This window comes from Homo sapiens, chromosome 8, assembly GCF_000001405.40.
Source record: "Homo sapiens chromosome 8, GRCh38.p14 Primary Assembly".
In the NCBI taxonomy this organism is placed as follows: Eukaryota; Metazoa; Chordata; class Mammalia; order Primates; family Hominidae; genus Homo; species Homo sapiens.
The window spans coordinates 98,078,675-98,097,845 of record NC_000008.11 but is presented as its reverse complement, the minus strand read 5'-3'; the positions used below and the strand labels follow the sequence as shown (position 1 = coordinate 98,097,845).

General features: G+C 41.7%; 1 protein-coding gene across 2 annotated transcripts in view, besides 1 other annotated feature; it reads right to left on the bottom strand.

Annotated features, from left to right (window-relative positions):
- Nucleotides 1–4,236: 4,236 nt before the first annotated feature.
- Nucleotides 4,237–19,171, bottom strand: part of ERICH5 (glutamate rich 5) — a 29,042-nt gene continuing 14,107 nt past the window's right edge. The window contains exons 2-3 of one of the 2 annotated variants that reach the window (NM_173549.3): nt 7,817–8,770; nt 4,237–4,625 (exon numbers count right to left, since the gene is read on the bottom strand). In NM_173549.3, the coding sequence (NP_775820.2) occupies nt 4,513–4,625; nt 7,817–8,770 (1,067 nt within the window). In that variant the 3' untranslated portion in view covers nt 4,237–4,512. The remainder of the gene's footprint in view (nt 4,626–7,816; nt 8,771–19,171) is intronic. The other variant, NM_001170806.2, reaches the window with a different exon arrangement.
- Nucleotides 11,852–11,901: an enhancer, noted in NCBI's record as "active region_27676". NCBI's record gives its function as "activates an Ori minimal core promoter by ATAC-STARR-seq in GM12878 lymphoblastoid cells {active_cell/tissue: GM12878}" and the evidence as "EXISTENCE:reporter gene assay evidence [ECO:0000049][PMID:35858748]".

Below are 19,171 nucleotides of genomic sequence, written 5' to 3'. Positions count from 1 at the left end.
AACACTCATAAGTTTATAAACTCTGGAGAGGTGAAAAGCTGACATAGTTTTAGATGTAATGACATCTTATAAGCAAATGCTTTCAACATTTCAAACACAGCATGCCTTGCTATCTGGTGTGGGAAGAAAGAAGAAGGGAAGGGTCATTCTCCTTTTACCTTACAAATGTGTGTGGGCAAATGAATGGCTTTATGATGTCCACATCGCTGGCCTTTGTGAAAGAGAATTCGGAATTGGATCACCAAACTATCTTCATAAAAATAGGATACTCAGCCGGGTGCAGGGGTTCAGCCTGTAATCCCAGCACTTTGGGAGGCCAAGGCAGGAGAATTGCTTAAGCTCAGGAGTTCAAGACCAGCCTGGCCAACATAGTAAGATCCTGTCTCTACTAAAAATGCAAACATTAGCCAGGCGTGGTGGCGCCTGCCTGTAATCCCAGCTACTCAGGAGGCTGAAGCAGGAGAATCACTTGAAACTGGGAGGCAGAGGTTGCAGTGACCAGAGCACACCACTGCACTCCAGCCTGGATGACCAAAAAAAAAAAAAAAAGATATTTGCCATCTCTAACAAGCTATTGTATTTGCCAAAAGAGTACATTGTAAACCCTACTAGGATTATTTTACCATGACCATCCAACATTCTTTGATTAGTTAAATGTGGAAAGAAACATTTTCTTAATTAAGCAATTCTTAATTCAAGGCCCAATGTGGAATAAAGCATTTGTTCAGAGTGGTGTGGGTGTTTTGACTGCTCAAAATATGGTAAGAGCTTTTACTCCACAGTCTAAATGGAAAAAGCAGTAAGGTAATATAATAGGTTGACCGCACATTTCTTCTTTTAAAAAAATAAATAAATAAAATAATTTATTTATTTATTTAATGTAGAGACAGGGTCTCCCTATATTGCCCAGGCTGGTCCCGAACTCCTGGGCTCAAGTGATTTTCCTGACTTGGCCTCCCAAAGGGCTGGGATTACAGGTATGGGCCACCACACCCAGCCATTGACTACACATTTCTACCCTGTGGGTGCCTCAGGGGGTTGGCACTTCTGGCCAAGAATTTGAGTCTGGTCTGGGTATTTCCTAGATTTGCAAACTGGCACCCACTGCTGGTAAATGCAAATGTTCACTCCCAAGAATGAGAGTTGGGAAATTTGTTCATTTCCATCCCAGTTAGGTACATCAGGTACAGAAATAATGAAGTTATCTTAATTAAAAGAACACAACTGGACTACAAAGTGGTTGCACAGCACCCCAGGGATAGAAAAATCCAGCCCTGCTGGCAGTTTCTCTATGAACAACTCAAGCCTTTTGTCCATCTTGTGCATTTTGAATCTGAGGGCAAAACCGGTAATCTTCTTTCAGGGTCTGGGGACCTATGATCAGAATACATTTTGCTCTGTTAAGACTCAGTCTTGGGCAAAAGGAAAAATTTCTAACATAGGAAAGGATCAAGCAGTGGTTTTACATGCAGTCTTCACAGTACAGGGGCTATGTAAATTGTCATTTGTGTTTTAAAATGTGGATATGTAGACTGAGCGTGGTGGCTCATGCCTGTAATTCTAGCACTTTGGGAGACCCAGGCAGAAGAATCATCTGAGGCCAAGAATTTGAGACCAGCATAGACAACATAGCAAGACCCCATCTATAAAAAAGTCAAAATGTAGATATGTAAATATACACTTATATTTTAGCATATACATATAGCCTGGTATATACATATACCTTTTTTTCTGGAAGTATACACAAGAAATATTATTTTTTCATGGAAGGACTAAAGGATATGGGAAGGAAACTTCACTACCTATTTTATACCCTTCTATATTTCACTTTTACCATAGATATTTATTACTTTTTAAAATTAACAGGTTATTTTGATGGAATATTTAAATTTTGGAATGTTCAGATATTGTGAAATATTTAAATTTTCCTTATAGGTTTTTAATGTTAAAACTGAATATTATCTAAAAGAATAAAAAAAAGTTTCCAAAAGTGTTTTAGTTACCACATTAAAGAATAAAGACAAAAGTAGAGAAAGTACCAGAAATTTTTATAAATTTCCAAAATTTTATGAAAATAAAAGATTTGAGTCTCAGCCTCCTGAGTAGCTGGGACTACAGGCACATGGCATCATGCCCAGCTAATTTTTTATATTTTTTGTAGAGATGGGGTCTCACCGTGTTGCCCAGGCTGGTCTTGAACTCCTGGACTCAAGAGATCCACCGCCTTGGCCTCCCAAAGTGCTGGGATTACAGGCGTGAGCCACCATGCCCAGCCAAATTTATATTTTATATGTATTATTTTTTAATGAATTAAGTATAAATGGGACTCCTTGGTATTTGTTATTCATTTACTGATTCAACAAATATTTATCAAGTATGTACCACATTCCATTAAAGGAGCTAAATGCCTGAATTCAAAAATACATAAAACACAGTGCTTGCCTTCAATGCAATCACAATCCAGTGCCTTTACTTTGCAGAAAGGATGATGTCATCTCCTCAGGGAACTCCTTTTATTGTCTTCCTCGGCACTTTACAGTCAGAACATAAATTAATATTAAAATCAGAATCAAGAGAATATGTTTTTCCCTGTATCCTATATTCTTATAATTAATTATAGGCCATCTTAGTAGTTATTTTAATGTAGAAGCTAAAGTAAGAGACTAGTTAGGCCGGGTGGCTCACGCCTGTAGTCCCAGCACTTTGGGAGACTGAGACAGGTGAATTGCTTGAGCTCAAGAGTTCGAGACCAGCCTGGGCAACATGGTGAAACCCTGTCTCTACTAAAAATACAAAAATTAGCCCGGCATGGTGGCACATGCCTGTAGTCCCAGCTACTCAGGAGAGGTGAGGTGGGAGGATTGCTTGAGCCCAGGAAGTCAAGTTTGCAGTCAGCCATGATCACACCACTACACTGCAGCCTGGGCAACAGAGCAAGACCCTGTCTCAAAAAATAAAAAATAAAAATAAAGAGACTAGTTAATTCATCTGAGCAGTTACCTTAAAAATACATATTTACTTAGGAAATAGTAGGAATTTTTTTAAAAAAGAAAAATACCTATTTACAAACAAGATAAATAAACAAAATGTTTCCAGAATTCTATTCTGATACTCAAACACACAAGACACTCACTGGTAGGCAAGTTAGCTATTATTTTTATTATTCACATACAATCATTTGCCAAAATCCCTTGCCAACTTCAGAAGAATTCTCAAAAACTGACTCTGTGGTGCATCACTAAAGAAATCTCATAAATGCTTCTAAAATCTTGATTTCTTAGCCTTTTTCCATCACTAAAGCCTACCATTAAATTGCAGTCATCTAAAAAAGAATAGAGTGGCCAGGTGCAATGGCTCACACATGTAATCCCAGCACTTTGGGAGGCGGATCACAAGGTCAGGAGTTCAAGACCTGCCTGGCCAGCATAGTGAATTCCCATCTGTACCAAAAATACAAAAATTATCTGGGCATGGTAGCAAGCACCTGTAATCCTAGCTACTCGGGAGGCTAAGGCAGGAGAATTGTTTGATCCCAGGAGGCAGAGGTTGCAGTGAGCCGAGATCGCACCACTGCACGCCAGCCTAGGTGACGGAGCAAGACTCCATGTCCAAAAAAAAAAGAAAAAAAGAGTAGAGCCCAGGAATAGACTCTACATAAGCAACAATCTAGGTTTTAATCCTTGCTGTTTATTGTCTCCAAAATACATTTAAAAGTGAATTAATTAAAAATACTTTTAATGTTATTCAAAAGGATAACACCAATTGAAAAACCTCATGTGAGTATAAAATCAACAGCTGATTCGAAATGGCACATGGAAAATGTGTAGCCTTTCATCATGAAAAATGTCTAACCTTGTGATAGCACCAGAGTTGCAATCCTTTGCAAAGGATTCTGTTAACATATTTAATATTCCATGATAAATAAGGATCTGTGGTAGTTGACAAGCTTAAAGGAGAGCAAATGTGTAGATGACATACTTCCTAAGGTTCTTATCAGCTCTGAATTCTATAACAAGACAGAAATATTTGGTATAGTTCATCCTATTATTTTTGCTGTTGTTCATTCTCATTCCATCATGATTATAATTGTGTGACTTTATTATTGTGAGTTCCCTAAAATTTGCTAACTCCTTTCTCTAGCCACTTGTACCTAAAGGTTTACACTTTCTTTTTAGGGTCTCATTTTCTATACTGAATGGCCCCATGGCCACAATGAAGAAAGTCACCCTCACACTCTTAAATAATCACATCATTTTTATTGGCTTTGGTTTTTATACTTTTAAATGTATAACCATTCTAAGTAGCTAAGAAAACTGTTCATGGCTTAGCAGTTTTGCAGAACAATATAATCAAGAACACAGAAACATCCTTCTCATGGTTCCAACAGTCTCTCTATAACCACACTCCTTACAGAAAACATGTAAATGTAGAAAGATAAGATACATAACCACAAGCTTCACTACCATTTTTGTCTCCTCTATGATAACACACTGTGTCGGTTCACTCTTCTATCTATGTGGCTGCTGAAAGGTCCACCACTTCTCCTGTTTCTTCTTCTTTGGTTTCAGCCCCTTCACTCACTTTCTCATTCTCCATGTCTGTTTCCACCTTTTCCCCTGTCTCACCTGGAAAAGTAACCAAAGGAGATACTAAGAGACATTTATTTAGAATTAACATAAATTATCCCACAGTTTGTCTCCAATGGGGGCAGTTCTTGATCTTCAGGTCTAAGCAGTAAGTTTCTCTGGGGGTATCAAGAAAAGTAATCATCTCAGCTGGGCACCGTGGCTAACACCTGTAATCCAACACATTGGGAGGCCAAGGAAGGCGGATTGCCTGAGGTCAGGAGTTCAGGAGCCTAGCCCAAAGTAATGAAACCCCGTCTCTACTAAAAATACAAAAATTAGCTAGGCATGGTGGCACAAGCCTGTAATCCCAGCTACTCGGGGGGCTGAGGCAAGAGAATCACTTGAAGCCGGGAGGCAGAAGTTGCAGTGAGCTGAGATCACGCCACTGCACTCCAGTCTGGGCGACAGAACGAGACTCTGTCTCAAAAAAAAAAAAAAAAGGAAAAGAAAAGTAATCATCTCGATTCTCTCAGAGCCTCTGAATGGCTGAAATGTCGAGTCAATTAACATCTCGAGTCTTGGCATACTCTTATGAAAGAAATGCTCTCTATAAAATCAGGATGCAAAATTACCAAAGAAATGGTGGTAGAACAGATTATAATAGAAAGTTCATGGCCAGGTGTGATGGTTCCCACCTGTAATCCCAATGCTTTGGCAAGCTGAGGCAAGAGGATCACTTGAGGCCAGGAGTTCAAGACCAGCCTGGGCAACAAGACCTCCTGTCTTTACAAAATATTTTTCAAAAATTAGCTGGACAGCTGGGCGTGGTGGCTCACGCCTATAATCCCAGCAATTTGGAAAGCTGAGGCAGGCAGATTGCTTGAGCCTAGGGTCTGAGACCGGCCTGGCCAACATGGTAAAACCTTGTTTCTACAAAAAATACAAAAATTAACCAGGGATGGTGGCGCCCAGCTACTCAGGAGGCCGAGGAGGGAGAATGGATTGAGCTGGGAGGCAGAAGTTACAATGAGCTAAGAATACCACTGCACTCCAGCCTGAGTAACAGAGCAAGACTCTGTCTCAAAAGTAATAATTTTTTAAAAGAAAAAAAAATTAGCCAGGCATGGTGGCACATTCCTGTAGTCCTAGCTACTTGAGAGCTGGGGCAAGAGGATCCCTTCAGTCCAGGAGTTGGAGATTATAGTGAGCTGTGATTGCATCACTGCACTCCAGCTTGAAGATCTTGTCTCGAAAGGAAGGAAGGAAGGAAGGAAGGAAGGAAGGGGAGAGAGAGAGAGAAGAAAAAGAAAGAAAAAAGAAAGAAAGAAGAAAGAAAGAAAGGAAGAAAGAAAGAAAGGAAGAAAGAAAGAAAGAAAGGAAAGAAAGAAAGAAAGAAAGAAAGAAAGAAAGAAAGAAAGAAAGAAAGAAAGAAAGAAAGAAAAAGAAAAAGAAAGAAAAAGAAAGTCTAATTTGTATCTAAATCAAAGGGTGGTCCAGGGGTGCCCCTAAACCTGTCTGGCTTGGCCATTATGTGTTTAAAAACAATCGTTAAACATTTACAGACAGCCAACACTAACAAGTCTGGACATTGCACACACTTGCAGGAAACCCTGTTTCCCTGAGAAGTTGGCTTTGGCAACATTGGCCCTAGTTCCATGGCTGGAGCTGTGCGGAGCTTCCTCTTTTGACAAGGCTGTGCTCTCCTGTTTGCCAAGGTCCCCTGGGCTCCCACAGTATGACATGTGTCCTTCACCTCACTCATTTTCAGTATCCTAGGCCTAAAGACTTTTGAGTTTGCCAATCCTGATGTAAAAACTACCTGCTTTTATTTGCCTCTCCCAAGTTGTTCCCAGGGCCCTTCTTACACATTCTTAGGAAAGCAGTTCCCACAACAGACTATGGTGATGCACGCACATCCTGCCTTCCCACACTAGACAGTGAGCCCCTTGAGGACAGAGACTATCTCTTCCTCAGTCTGCATCTCAGCACCTAGCATATGTTTAGGCATGCCAAAAAATGCTGAGTTAATAAATGAAAGAATTGGCCAGACATGGTGGCTCATGCCTGTAATCCCGGCACTTTGGGAGGCCGAGGCGGGTGGATCATGAGGTCAGGAGCTGGAGACCAGCCTGGCCAATGTGGTGAAACCCCGTCTCTACTAAAAATACAAAAACTAGCCGGGCATGGTGGTGTGCGCCTGTAGTCCCAGCTACTCAGGAGGCTGAGGCGGGAGAATCGCTTGAACGCAGAAGGTGGAGGTTGCAGTGAGCCGAGATCACTTCACTGCACTCCAGCCTGGGCAACAGAGCAAGACTCCATCTCAAAAAATAAATAAATTAATTAAATAAAATAAATAAATGAAAGAATTAAACAAAAACAGATGGATGATTATAATGAATGCTTCACTTAAGTATACTGAACTGTGAAGCTAAAATTTACCAAAATGTAAATCATACCCCAGAAGAAAATATTTTTTTAAATTATAACACCAATAAAGAACACTGTAAACATCATTTGTTTTATGCTGGTAAAATACAGTTAAAATTTTAAAACACCATATGCTAAGACATAGTACATTTTCTCTGGTCTTCTCATACAGATTTTAAAACTGCAGAAGAACAAGAGCAGACTGACAGTCATTTTCTTTTTCCTTTTTTCTTTCTTTTTTTTTTTTTTTCTGGAGAACAAGGTCTCACTATGTTGCCCAGGCAGGTCATGAACTGCTGGGCTCAAGCTATCCTCCCACCTCTGCCTCCTGAAGTGCTGGGATTACAGGTGTGAGCCACTGCACCCTGTCCTGACAGTCATTTTCTAAGATAAGCTTCACAAAGATGAAAATAACATTCTAAGATCCATTATGTATATATCATTTCATTGGAAGGTGAATTCCTCCAGTAATCATCTATTCACCTTTACTTTGGATCCTGATTTCATACATGGGGCCTGATGAAGTGTCAACTTGGAAAAATTCAGAAAGTTTCACATGTTGCCTTCAATGTTAGACACTATTTAAACACTAGGTTAAAATTTTGGACAGAGATGATGTTTCGGAAAAGTTTTGCTGACAAACTGAGCATTAATAGAATGCCTCTTTCCCAGGCACAGAAGCCTTTTTGGTTTGGTCAAACGAACTTCAACCACCTGAAAGTGACTTCAGGGACTGTGTGTCAGTCACCCCATCCCACTCCCCAGAGCTGGTCTCCTATGGAGCACATCTAAACATCCAGGTTTGCCAGCATAACTTTTACCTTCAATGCGTTGGTCCTCTTCATTAGTATGGATGTTCCTGATCATTTCCACATATGCTCCTGCCTCTACATTTCGTGCTGGATGCTCCATGCTTCCAACTATTCCTTCAGGTTGAATCTGCTCCATGTTTCCTGGACCTTCAGGAGTTTTATGGAATGGATCATTCATAACAGGCTTTTCCACAAGCTGACTTCTGTCCAATACTTCTGGTGTTACATTCTCTTTGGGAATTCTTTCTAGAAGCTGGGGCTGCTCCTCTTTTCCCAATGTTGCCTGAAGTTGCTGCTCTTCAGCTGTTTCCACAAACTGACTTCCTTCCAATATTTCTGGAGATTCATTCTCTTTGGAAATTGTTTCTAGAAGCGGGGCCTGCTCATCCTTTCCCACTGTGCCCTGAGGTTGTAGCTCTCCAGCTATTTGCAGAGTCAGAACGTTCTCAGTTGTTCCTAGAGGCTTCATCTCTGCAGCAGTTTGTGGATTCTCAGTGACCTCCACTGCTCTGAGAGAGTCCTTCTCTACTGCTGCCTGCAAAGGCTGACCCTTGGCTTCTGGTCCTAAAGGCTGAGCTTCAGCATTTCCTTTTAGAGACTCGGCCTCTGTCCCTGCTCCTGCATCTTTCTTCTTTCCTTCTGCTGCTGGGGCATCCTCTTTGCCACCTGGTTGAGGCGGCCCAGATTCCTCCAGTCCCTCTCCAGGCTGAGTCTTTTCTGTGGACCCTGATTGGTCTGTGGCATCCCTTCCAGGGGCTACGTCCTTGGCCAGGGGCTGTTCTTGGAGGGGTTTAACACCATTAGCTGTAGGCTCTGCTGAAACCTTGAGCTTTTGTAAGGGAGGACGGCTTTCCCTTTGTACATTGCCATCAACAGTAGATTCTCTTCCCAGTGCATGTGGCTTTGGTTGGGCAAAGCAGGACTCACTTTCTTCTGCAGTTGAAAAATGCTCATTTGAAGTTACTTTGGTTATTCATTTGAAAAAGAAAAAGAAAAGAGAAAACACAAATTATTGTTTAGTTTTATCTTGAAAAGTGAATTGACATCACAAAGTAGATTTAACAGTTCAAGACAGTTCCAAATATATCTGAGTACAGAAAGGCCATACCATGACCCTAACACTCTCCCAGTCAAATCCCTTTATTGTCTTCAGCTCAAACATTTAATCTTAAGCGCTGAAGTCCTCCAAAACCACAGTTTTCTCCTGTTTGCTCCTTGTGCATCTTTTCATGGCTCCTGTCCCAGATTCTAACTGAGCTTACTCTGTTTCTCTCTTCTTTTCCTTGTCTCACACTTTCTCCTCTTGAGACTTAGAAGGTTTCCTTTTTAAAAAATTTTTTTTCCATTTTTGTTTTGGCGGGGAGGGCAATAGAAGATTCCCAAACTTAGAAGGTTTCATGATGCGAGGTCCTTGGGCTGCTAGAGAGGTCTTACTTTCCTTCTAACACAGGAAAGCCCCCAGCAAATGGAAAAAGGACTGTGGCAGAGAAGCCCTAATAGGTAAAGGCTAAGATGTCTGGGAAGGGAAGTAGCAGAGACAGTTCAGCCTGAGTTTCATGTCATTTGGGGGGCACAGTGGGAAAAGAAATCAACAGAAAGCAGAGAAACATGCATTTTACTTCTGGCCATTGTTCCAACTGTATGAGCTTGGAAACTTAGCTCCCAATGATCTTGTCTCTAAAACAGCAGTGAATCTCTCTTCTCTCCTTCATATTGATCTCAGAGTTGCATGAGGCGTGATAGTTTAAAAGATGCAAAAGTGAGTTGGATAGTTTAAGATAAGCAATATGTTTAAGATTGGCAATATGTTAATACTCTTTGACCCAGCAGTTCTGCTTCTGGAAATTTTTGTTGTTGTTGTTTTACTTCTTGAAAATTTAATCTAAAAGCATAAACCTTATGAAGATGCTTTGGGAGAGAATATATATATATATAATCCCAATATTCTTCCATTTTTTTATTTTTGTTTTACTTTTCTATTTAGAGACAGGATCTCACTATGTTGCCCAGGCTGATCTTGAACTCCTGGGCTCAAGTGATCCTCCTGCTGCAGCTTCCCAAAGTCCTAGGATTTATAGGCATGAGCCACCACACCCACCCCACATTGTTTTTTATAGCAGCAAAAGCTAGAAAACAACTTAAAAGTCTAATAAGTTCAAGAACACATAAATATTCCATGGTGTGGAATATTATTATACCATGAAAAAAGATGATTATGAAGACCATATGCTAAAATAAGAAAATAATTATGATACAATAAGTTTAGAAATCACTCATGATTAGGTTGATCAAATAAAGTAATGCATATAAAGTACTTATTAACCCAAAGTCTACTGTGTGATTAAGTGCTCAACAAGTTAGCTATCAATTTTATATAAAGTATGATTATGGCAATGTTGAAAGAAAGGCAGGGAGGGGAGGGAGGGCAAAAGGGGGAAAACAAATCACAAATGATGGGGGAGGAAAGCTGGAAGAAAATAAGTCAAAAGTTAAAGTGGGTCTCTAGGGGATCTTTTTCTTCATCTTTTTTCCCCCAAAGATTGTTTTTCTTCTTTTCTTTTTTCCCAAAGATTGTTTTTCTTCTTTTCTTTTTTCCCTCTAAGTTACCATCCACCTCAGTCATATGTGCATGCAGTTTAAAGAGTTATCTGCTTATCTAGTGTAAGCTAAAAACAAGTAATACTCGGGTCTCCTCTCCCATTTACCCTTCTAAAAAAGAAATATTTGCTTATAGAAGCAAATATTTTAATTCTTTTAGCTGTTTTGGAGGAATTTTTTTTCTATGTTGCTAAATGAATTGTGCTTCAGGATTTTTCAGTTTGGACCTTTCAATTAACTTTTTTTATTTTTTAAATAGAGATGTGGTCCCACGTGGTTCGAGTTGCCCAGGCTGATCTCAAACTCCTGGGCTCAAGTGATCCACCTGCCTTGACTTCCCAGAGTGCTAGGATTATAGGCGTAAGCCACCACGCCCGTCTCAATTAACTTTTACTATGGAAGATAAAAACTTAGCTCTTTTCCTATTCTCCTTGACCACCAGCCACTCTCTCCAATTACACATTCACATTTCCTTTTTTTTTTTTTTTTTGAGACGGAGTCTTGCTCTGTTGCCCAGGTTGGAGTGTGGTGGCGCGATCTCGGCTCACTGCAAGCTCCGCCACCTGGGTTCACACCATTCTCCTGCCTCAGCCTCCCGAGTAGCTGGGACTACAGGCACCCACCACCACGCCCGGCTAATTTCTTTGTATTTTTAGTAGAGATGGGGTTTCACCATGTTAGCCAGGATGGTCTCGATCTCATGACCTCGTGATCCACCCGCCTCAGCCTCCCAAAGTGCTGGGATTACAGGCGTGAGCCACCGCACCCGGCCCACATTTCCTTTCAGTTCAGTGATTATATATTAATTATTTAAAATACTAATGTTGTAATTTGGATTATATCAATATCCAAATGTATGTCTGTATAATGACTGTGTCTTCTATGAAGAACTGAGCCATATATTAAGCTATTACAATTTTTTATTTTTCCCCGAGTTAATAATTATCATACTTTTTCATTTCCTAGGAGTTCACGTATTATCATTTATTCAACTCACTGCCATTTTTCTCTCTTTTGAACACATGTATTCATATCAAACAGCCTATCAATTTAATCTTCATGAAGATGAAGGACTTACTGAGGTACCAAGCCACCAGCTCCAGAGCATTTTAAGGATCCTGCGGTATCAGGGGTGGTTCTCAGTTTTCTCTACTGCTAATCAAATTAAGCTTTCCTTGGCATGTTAAGTGAGTTATCACATGTCTGTCTGCTTCCTAAACTCCAGTATTGTTCTATTATTGTCTTTTTTTCTGTTCTTCCTATCTCTGTGGGTTTAAACTATTTTTTAAATCTCTTTACTGTCATTTTAGTGGTTTTTCAGGAAGGCACAAAATTAGATCCATATCTTCAATCTACCACCTTCACCAACACCTCCGAAGATGCTTTAATGATTATTTATAATGAAAAAAAGAAAACTTTCCAAATGAAAACATGGGATGTACAAAAGCAGTTTACGTACAAAGATGAAAACTACAGGCTCTGCTCTCTGGTACCACAGGTGAAGCCATCAGAAGCAGTAATCTAACAAAAACAATCCCATGCGATAAACGCTGTGTGACCCCTGTGTGCACACAGTGGCAAGAAGTCACACATGAGTTGAGTGTGCTGAGATAGTTTGCGAGCCCCAGGAGAACACGTGGGGAAGCCTGGAGGACTCAGGAAAGGATAGTGCGGCTGGAGGCTGGCGCAGAAGCCAGGTCATGGAGGGCCCTGCAGGTGGTGCTAAAGAGTTTAGATTTTTATCCTCGAAGCAAGAAGAACAAGAATTTCTAGCAGGACTTTTTTTAAAAGTTAAATAAATATACATGCACCATATAGCTCAGCCATTTAACTTATAGGTATTTTCCCAAGAGAAAAGAAACCACATGTCCATACATTTATACACAAATGTTCATAGCATCTTTATTTGTAACAGCCCAAACCCGGAAACAACCCAAGTGTCCATCAACAGGTGAATAGGTCAAAAAATCTGTGGAACGGCCGGGAGCGGTGGCTCACGCCTGTAATCCCAGCACTTTGGGAGGCCGAAGTGGGCGGATCACGAGGTCAGGATATCGAGACCATCCTGGCTAACACGGTGAAACCCCGTCTCTACTAAAAATACAAAAAAAAATTAGCAGGGCGTGGTGGCGGGCGCCTGCAGTCCCAGCTACTCGGGAGGCTGAGGCGGGAGAATGGCGTGAAACTGGGAGGCGGAGCTTGCAGTGAGCCGAGATCGCGTCACTGCACTCCAGCCTGGGCGACAGAGTAAGACTCCGTCTCAAAAAAAAAAAAAAAAAAAAAAAAAAAAAAAAAAAAAAAAAAGGCTGTGGAACGTTCACACCAGGGAATACGACCCAGTAATAAAAAAGAAATGAACAATTGATAAGTGCAACAACATGGATGATTTTCGGAATAATTATGCTGAGTAAAAGAAGACAAAAAGATTACATAGCATATAATTCCATTTATATAAACTCTAGAAAATACTAACTTATCTACAGTGGTAGAAAGCAGAACGGTGGCTCTTTGGAGACTGGGATTGGGTAGACAGGAGGGAGATTTCAAAGGGGCACAATCTTGATTGTGCTGATGCTCCCATGGTGTACAGATAAACCAGAGTTTACTAAAATGTACACTATAAATATGTACAGTTTATTGTAAGTGAATTATACCTCCAAAAAACTGATCATTTTTGAAATATAAAAATAAAAGATAACTAAAAAAAAGAATTGTGAGCAGAGAAATGAATCAATCCAATCTGGATTTTAAAAACCTCCCAGCTGGGTGCGGTGGCTCACACCTGTAATCCCAGCACTTTGGGAGGCTGAGACGGGTGGATCACCTGAGGTCCGGAGTTCGAGACCAGCCTGGCCAACATGGTGAAACCCAGTCTCTACTAAAAATACAAAAATTAGCCAGGCGTGGTTGCATGCACCTGTAATCCCAGCTACTTGGGAGGCTGAGGCAGGAGAAAATTGAACCCGGGCGGCAGAGGTTGCAGTGAGCCAAGATCACGCCATTGCACTCCAGCCTGGGGGACAAGAGCGAGACTTCGACTCAAAAACAAACAAACAAAATACTCCCGCTGCAGAATGAATTAGAGGCAGGCAACACAGAAGTCAATGTGTCCAGTGACACAGGGCAAATAGGACTCAGAAATGAGAAGTAAAAATGACTGGACATAATGACAGTTCAGGGGCTGAAAAGAGCGACAGGGAGGGTCTAGAGAAACACTGGTTCATAGCTCTGATGCTGGAGATAGAAAATATAGGATAGGCCGGGCACAGCATGCCTGTAATCCCAGCACTTTGGGAGGCTAAGGCAGGAGGATCACTTGAGGCCAGGAGTTCAAGACCAGCCTAGGAAATATAGCGAGACCTGATGTCTACAAAAAAAAAAAAAAAATTAAAATTAGCTGGGCATGGTGGTGTGAACCTGTAATACCAGTTACTTAGAAGGCTGATGGGGGAGGATCACTTGAGCCCAGGAGTTTGAGGCTGCAGTGAGCTGTGATCGTGCCACTGCACTCAGCCTGGGCAAGGGAGTGAGACCCTGTCTCTAAAAATATGTGTTCGAGGGATGGGAAGAGGGATAGATGGATTTAGGGCAGTGAGAGACACATGAATTGCTCAGGCTGGGGCATGGTATCTTGGAGATGGTTGTAGATTTTACATCCTGGTGGCAAATCCGGGAGGCTGTTGGACGTATAAATCTCGGCTGGAAATATATGTAACAGCCTAGAGCTGAGCTCTCTATCTTATTAACAAATTTGCTTTTTGAGAAAGGGGTAGTTTTACATAGAGGTTCCTGTGAGGAGGGGAAATGAGGAGGGTAGTGGTGTGTGTGTGTGTGCATGTGTGTCAATATCTGCATCCCCACCCTGCCTCAGAGACTAGGTGTGAATCCTCCTGCAGAGAGGGAATAGAGCTGGAAGTAGAGAAGCAGAACTCAAGAAAAACCTGATGAGACTTAGGGCTCAATTAGAATTGAGGGGAGGGCTATTTTTCACCTCCCCCTCCTGCCTCATCATGAATGAAGACTTCAAATTAATTGCAAGTAAGGTGACTTAATCAAGGTGATTTTTCAGGTCTAAAAAGAAATTCATCCTGAGAAAACAATGCATTTAGATATCACACAAATGATGGTCTGGTGATAATTGCCTTAGGGAATAAACCAGGAAATGTGTTAATGTACTAATCACAGATGTCTGCCAAATTATATTTTCTGGTAAAATTGTTATTACAGTGATTAGTATTGTCGGTTAAGTGAGACAAACCATTTTCATCCACCTGTGCCAATCATGAGTACATTCGAAAGGCATTATTCTCCTAGAGCAAAAATTGTGCAGAAAAAAATGTGCCGACACACCCAAAACACAGCCACACAATTTTACATTCTGAAAAACATATTATGCTATCAGTCTAAGTTTTCTCCCACAATAAAAAGCTTTGCGAAAGTTTGAGAAAATTGATTTCTCCACAGATGGTGTCATAAGTGTCCAAGTGATCCGTCAATTTTTGCCATAGCTATAATATTTATACCCATGATCACAATATCCATTCACTTTCATTCTTTTATTGTCGTTGTTGAGACAGGGTCTCAATCCGTCACCAAGGCTAGAGTGGAGTGGCATGACCATAGCTTACTGCAGCCTCAACCTCTCAGGTTCAAGTGATCCTGCCACCTTAGCTTCCCAAGTAGCTGGGACTACAGACATGTGCCACCACGCCAGGCTAAGTGTTAAATATTTTTAGAAACAGCGTCTCTCTATGTTGCCCAGGCCGATCCATTTTCATTCTTTTTTTTTTTTTTTGAGATGGAGTTTTGCTCTTACTGCCCAGGCTGGAGTGCAATGGTGTGATCTTGGCTCACTGCAATCTCTGCCTCCCAGGTTCAAGCGAGTCCCCTGCCTCAGCCTCCTGAGTAGCTGGGACTATAGGCATGCGCCACCACACCTGGCTAATTTTGTATTTTTAGGAGAGATGGGGTTTCTCCATGTTGGTCAGGCTGGTCTCGAACTCCCGACCTCAGGTGATCCACCCACCTCCACCTCCTGAAGTGTTGGGATTACAGGCAGGAGCCACCGTGCCCAGCCAGTTCTTATGTAACTTTCCCAATTTTACTGGTACACTGGAAGTAGGCAAGTGTCCACAGCGTATACTTTTATAAAACACAACCTGAAAATAGTCAACCAAGTTGGGCAACTTTACAAAAGAATGTCATTGTCTTTTAATATTTTTTTTGTGGTAGCCCAAAGGACATATAATACCTTTAAAATGACCATACACACACAAAATAGGGAAAATGCTAGAAGGGCAGGGCCACATTTACTTCGTAATTTATATTGATTAATTGCACTCTAAATTTTGAAATGGCTGTATTTCAGAGGCAGTAGCTCTCAAGGAATAGCTCAGAAGTTCTTTTCCCTATGTGATAGAAGAGACAAATCTGCTCTAAGAGGACAGACACTTTATGACCTTGAAAAGGACACCTATAGACCTACAGTATAGGGGAATTTTTTTTTTTTTTTTAGACGAAGTTTCATTCTTGTTGCCCAGGCTGGAGTGCAATGGTGCAATCTCAGCTCACTGCAACCTCCGCCTCCTGGGTACAAGCAATTCTCCTGCCTCCGCCTCCTGAGTAGCTGGGATTACAGGCATGCACCACCATGCCTGGCTAATTTTGTATTTTTAGTAGAGATGGGGGTTTCTCCATGTTGTTCAGGCTGGTCTTGAACTCCCGACCTCACGTGATCTGCTCGCCTTGGCCTCCCAAAGTGCTGGGGTTACAGGCGTAAGCCACAGCACCCGGCCAGTGTAGTGGATTATAACTCCAGTTCCTGCACTTACTAGCCTCTCTCTGCCTCAGTTTCATCACCTGTAAAGTGGGAATAGTGTTATTACTGAACCAGGGAACTGACATGAGGATTACATGAGATAATACTCAGAAAGAACTAGTACAGAGACTAGCACCCACTAATCTTGTCAATCTTAGCATCACTATTGTTATACCTCCCGTAGTGGCCCAAACAAGGGTGAAATTAGGTGCACAGTGTCTGGGTGTGGTGGCTCACACTTGTAATCTCAGCACTGTGGGAGGCCAAGGCAGGTGGATCACTTGAGCCCAGAAATTCGAGACCTGCCTGGACAACATGGCGAAACCTGTCTCTACCAAAAAATTTAAAAATTAGCTGGGTATGGTGGTGCAGGCCTGTAGTTCCAGCTACTCAGGAGGCCGAGATGGGAGGATAGCTTGAGCCCAGGAGGTTCAGATCACAGTGAGCCATGATTGTGCCACTGCACTCCAGCCTGGGAGACAGAGCAAGACCCTGTTTCAAGAAAAAAGAAAAAAAGAGAGAGAGAGAGAGAGAGAAAGAAATTATGATGTACAAACAGAAAAGTAAGGTGATTTCATTCATTCCAATATTGGTACATTTCTGTGATAGAAGAAAGATTAGGCTGGGCACAGTGGCTCACGCCTGTAATCCCAGCACTTTGGGAGGCCGAGGCGGGCAAATCACTTGAGGTCAAGAGTTCGACCAGCCTGGCCAACATGGTGAAACCCCATCTCTTCTAAAAAAATTAAAAAATTAGCTGGCCATGGTGGCGAGTGCCTGTAATCTCAGCTACTCGGAAGACTGAGGCTGGAGAATTGCCTAAACCTGGGAGGCAGAGGTTGTAGTGAGCCAAGATCATGCCAGTGCACTCCAGCCTGGGCAACAGAGGAAGAAGGAGAAGGAGAGGGAGGGGGAGGGGGGACGGGAGGGGGAGAAGAAGAAGAAGAAGGAGAAGGAGAAGGAGGAGAAGAAGAAGGAGAAGGAGAAGAAGGTGAAGGAGAAGAAGAAGGAGAAGGAGAAGAAGGTGAAGGAGAAGAAGGAGAAGGAGAAGAAGAAATGAAAGATTGGAAAACAAATAGTTGTTTTGAACCATCTCTCAGAGAACACAATAAAGTCTACAATTACCACTCAAACTTCCTTTCTGGCTCCAGATTACATAACCCTCAGCTTATTCTTACTCTTGCGCTGCTGAAGGAAGTTCATTTTTTAATGTGTTTGATCTCCCTCCCTTCCCTCTAGCCTAAAGCAGAGCATTGAGACTGTTCTAGCACTGGGTGTGAATCCTGACTCCACCATTTACTTACCTGTGCAATCTGGACAAGTTAGTTCCTAACCTCTCTGGATCTGTTTCCTTATCCATAACATGTGGGTATTGTTTGCCTTTCAGGCTTGTTAGAATTGACAGAGTGGATAATGTGTGTAATTTGCCCAGCATGGTATCTGACATGAAAAGGTAGCCACACTAAACAGGGACACAGCGCACAGCTGTACAAGCTTCTCACTGCACGGGGCAGAACTGCATGCAGCCTTGGTGCATCTGCAAGGGTGCATGTGATGTTGGTGGGGAAGGCCTCTTTCTAATTGTACAAAGTTCCCTTGAGTACCAGGAGTGACCTGTCAATAAATTATAGCTAAATTAGCAACAGAAAAGCTAACTTGCAACATTAAAGGGCTTAGATACACAGTCTCCTAAACACTATGAAGTTGTCAGTGTTGACCTACAAAGTTGTATTGTTATCATGGTACAGTTTAAAACATGATTATTGATAAATAATGGAAAAGTAGGCCGGGCACGGTAGCTCACCCTGTAATCCCAGCACTTTGGGAGGCTAAGGCAGGTGGATCACCCGAGGTCAGGAGTTCGAGACCAGACTGGCCAACATGGTGAAACCCCGTCTCTACTAAAAATACAAAAAATTAGCCGGGCTGGTGGTGGATGCTTGTAATCCCAGCTACTCGGGAGGCCGAGGCAGGAGAATCACTTGAACCCAGGAGGCGGAGGTTGCAGTGAGCCAAGATTGCGCCACTGCACTCCAGCCTGAGCAACAAGAGCGAGACTTCATCTCAAAATAAATAAATACATAAATAAAAGTACTTATAATGTTAGCAATGATTTAACTAAACTTGATTGGTGTTAATAAAGGCCATTCATAAATTATATATAAATAAATGTTTCATTCTGTTTGCTGGCTTTGATTTCACTCATTCATCACATTTTCATCAAGTGCATACTACAGGCAAGATCTGGGTGGGCACAGGGGTTCTAGCAGGTAACAAGATTTGGATTAGCTGGGCATGGTGGCATGCACCTGTAGTCCCTGCTACTCAGGAGGCTGACGTGGGAGGATTGCTTAAGCCCCAGAGGTCAAGGATGCAGTGAGCCATGATTGCGCCACTGCATTCCAGCCTGGGCAACAGACAGAGACCCTGTCTCAAAAAAAAAAAAAAAAAAAAAAGGAAAAAAAAAAAGAGGAAAATGTGGTCCCTGGTATCCTAGGGTTTACTGTCTTCGGGGAAATTCAAATAGCTACTCCCTTCATTAAGCACAACTTGGTGGCTACACATTACCTCTTACCCAAGTATTTCTATACACTCTGTCCGTATGATTTTGTGAATCCTCACCATACCTCCTCAAAGTAGAAAAAGGTACTACATCATTTCTTCTAGCAGGCTAACTTGAAAAGCAATGAGATATATTTTTGTCCACAAACAGGAGACATTCTATGCCTAATCTACGTTATTATATAATAAATATTGTAGACAGATGCGTTGTTTTCACATCTGAATTTGTTTAAAGATGTGTCTGTTTTCTGAACTCCACATTTCATCAAATCATACACTGCTCTGAGCCTAATCCTTTGGTGCTCATTATCTCCCTTGATTCTGTTGTAAATTGATCCATGCACAAATTCATTGTGACAGCTGAACTAACAGAACCCTTGTTATAA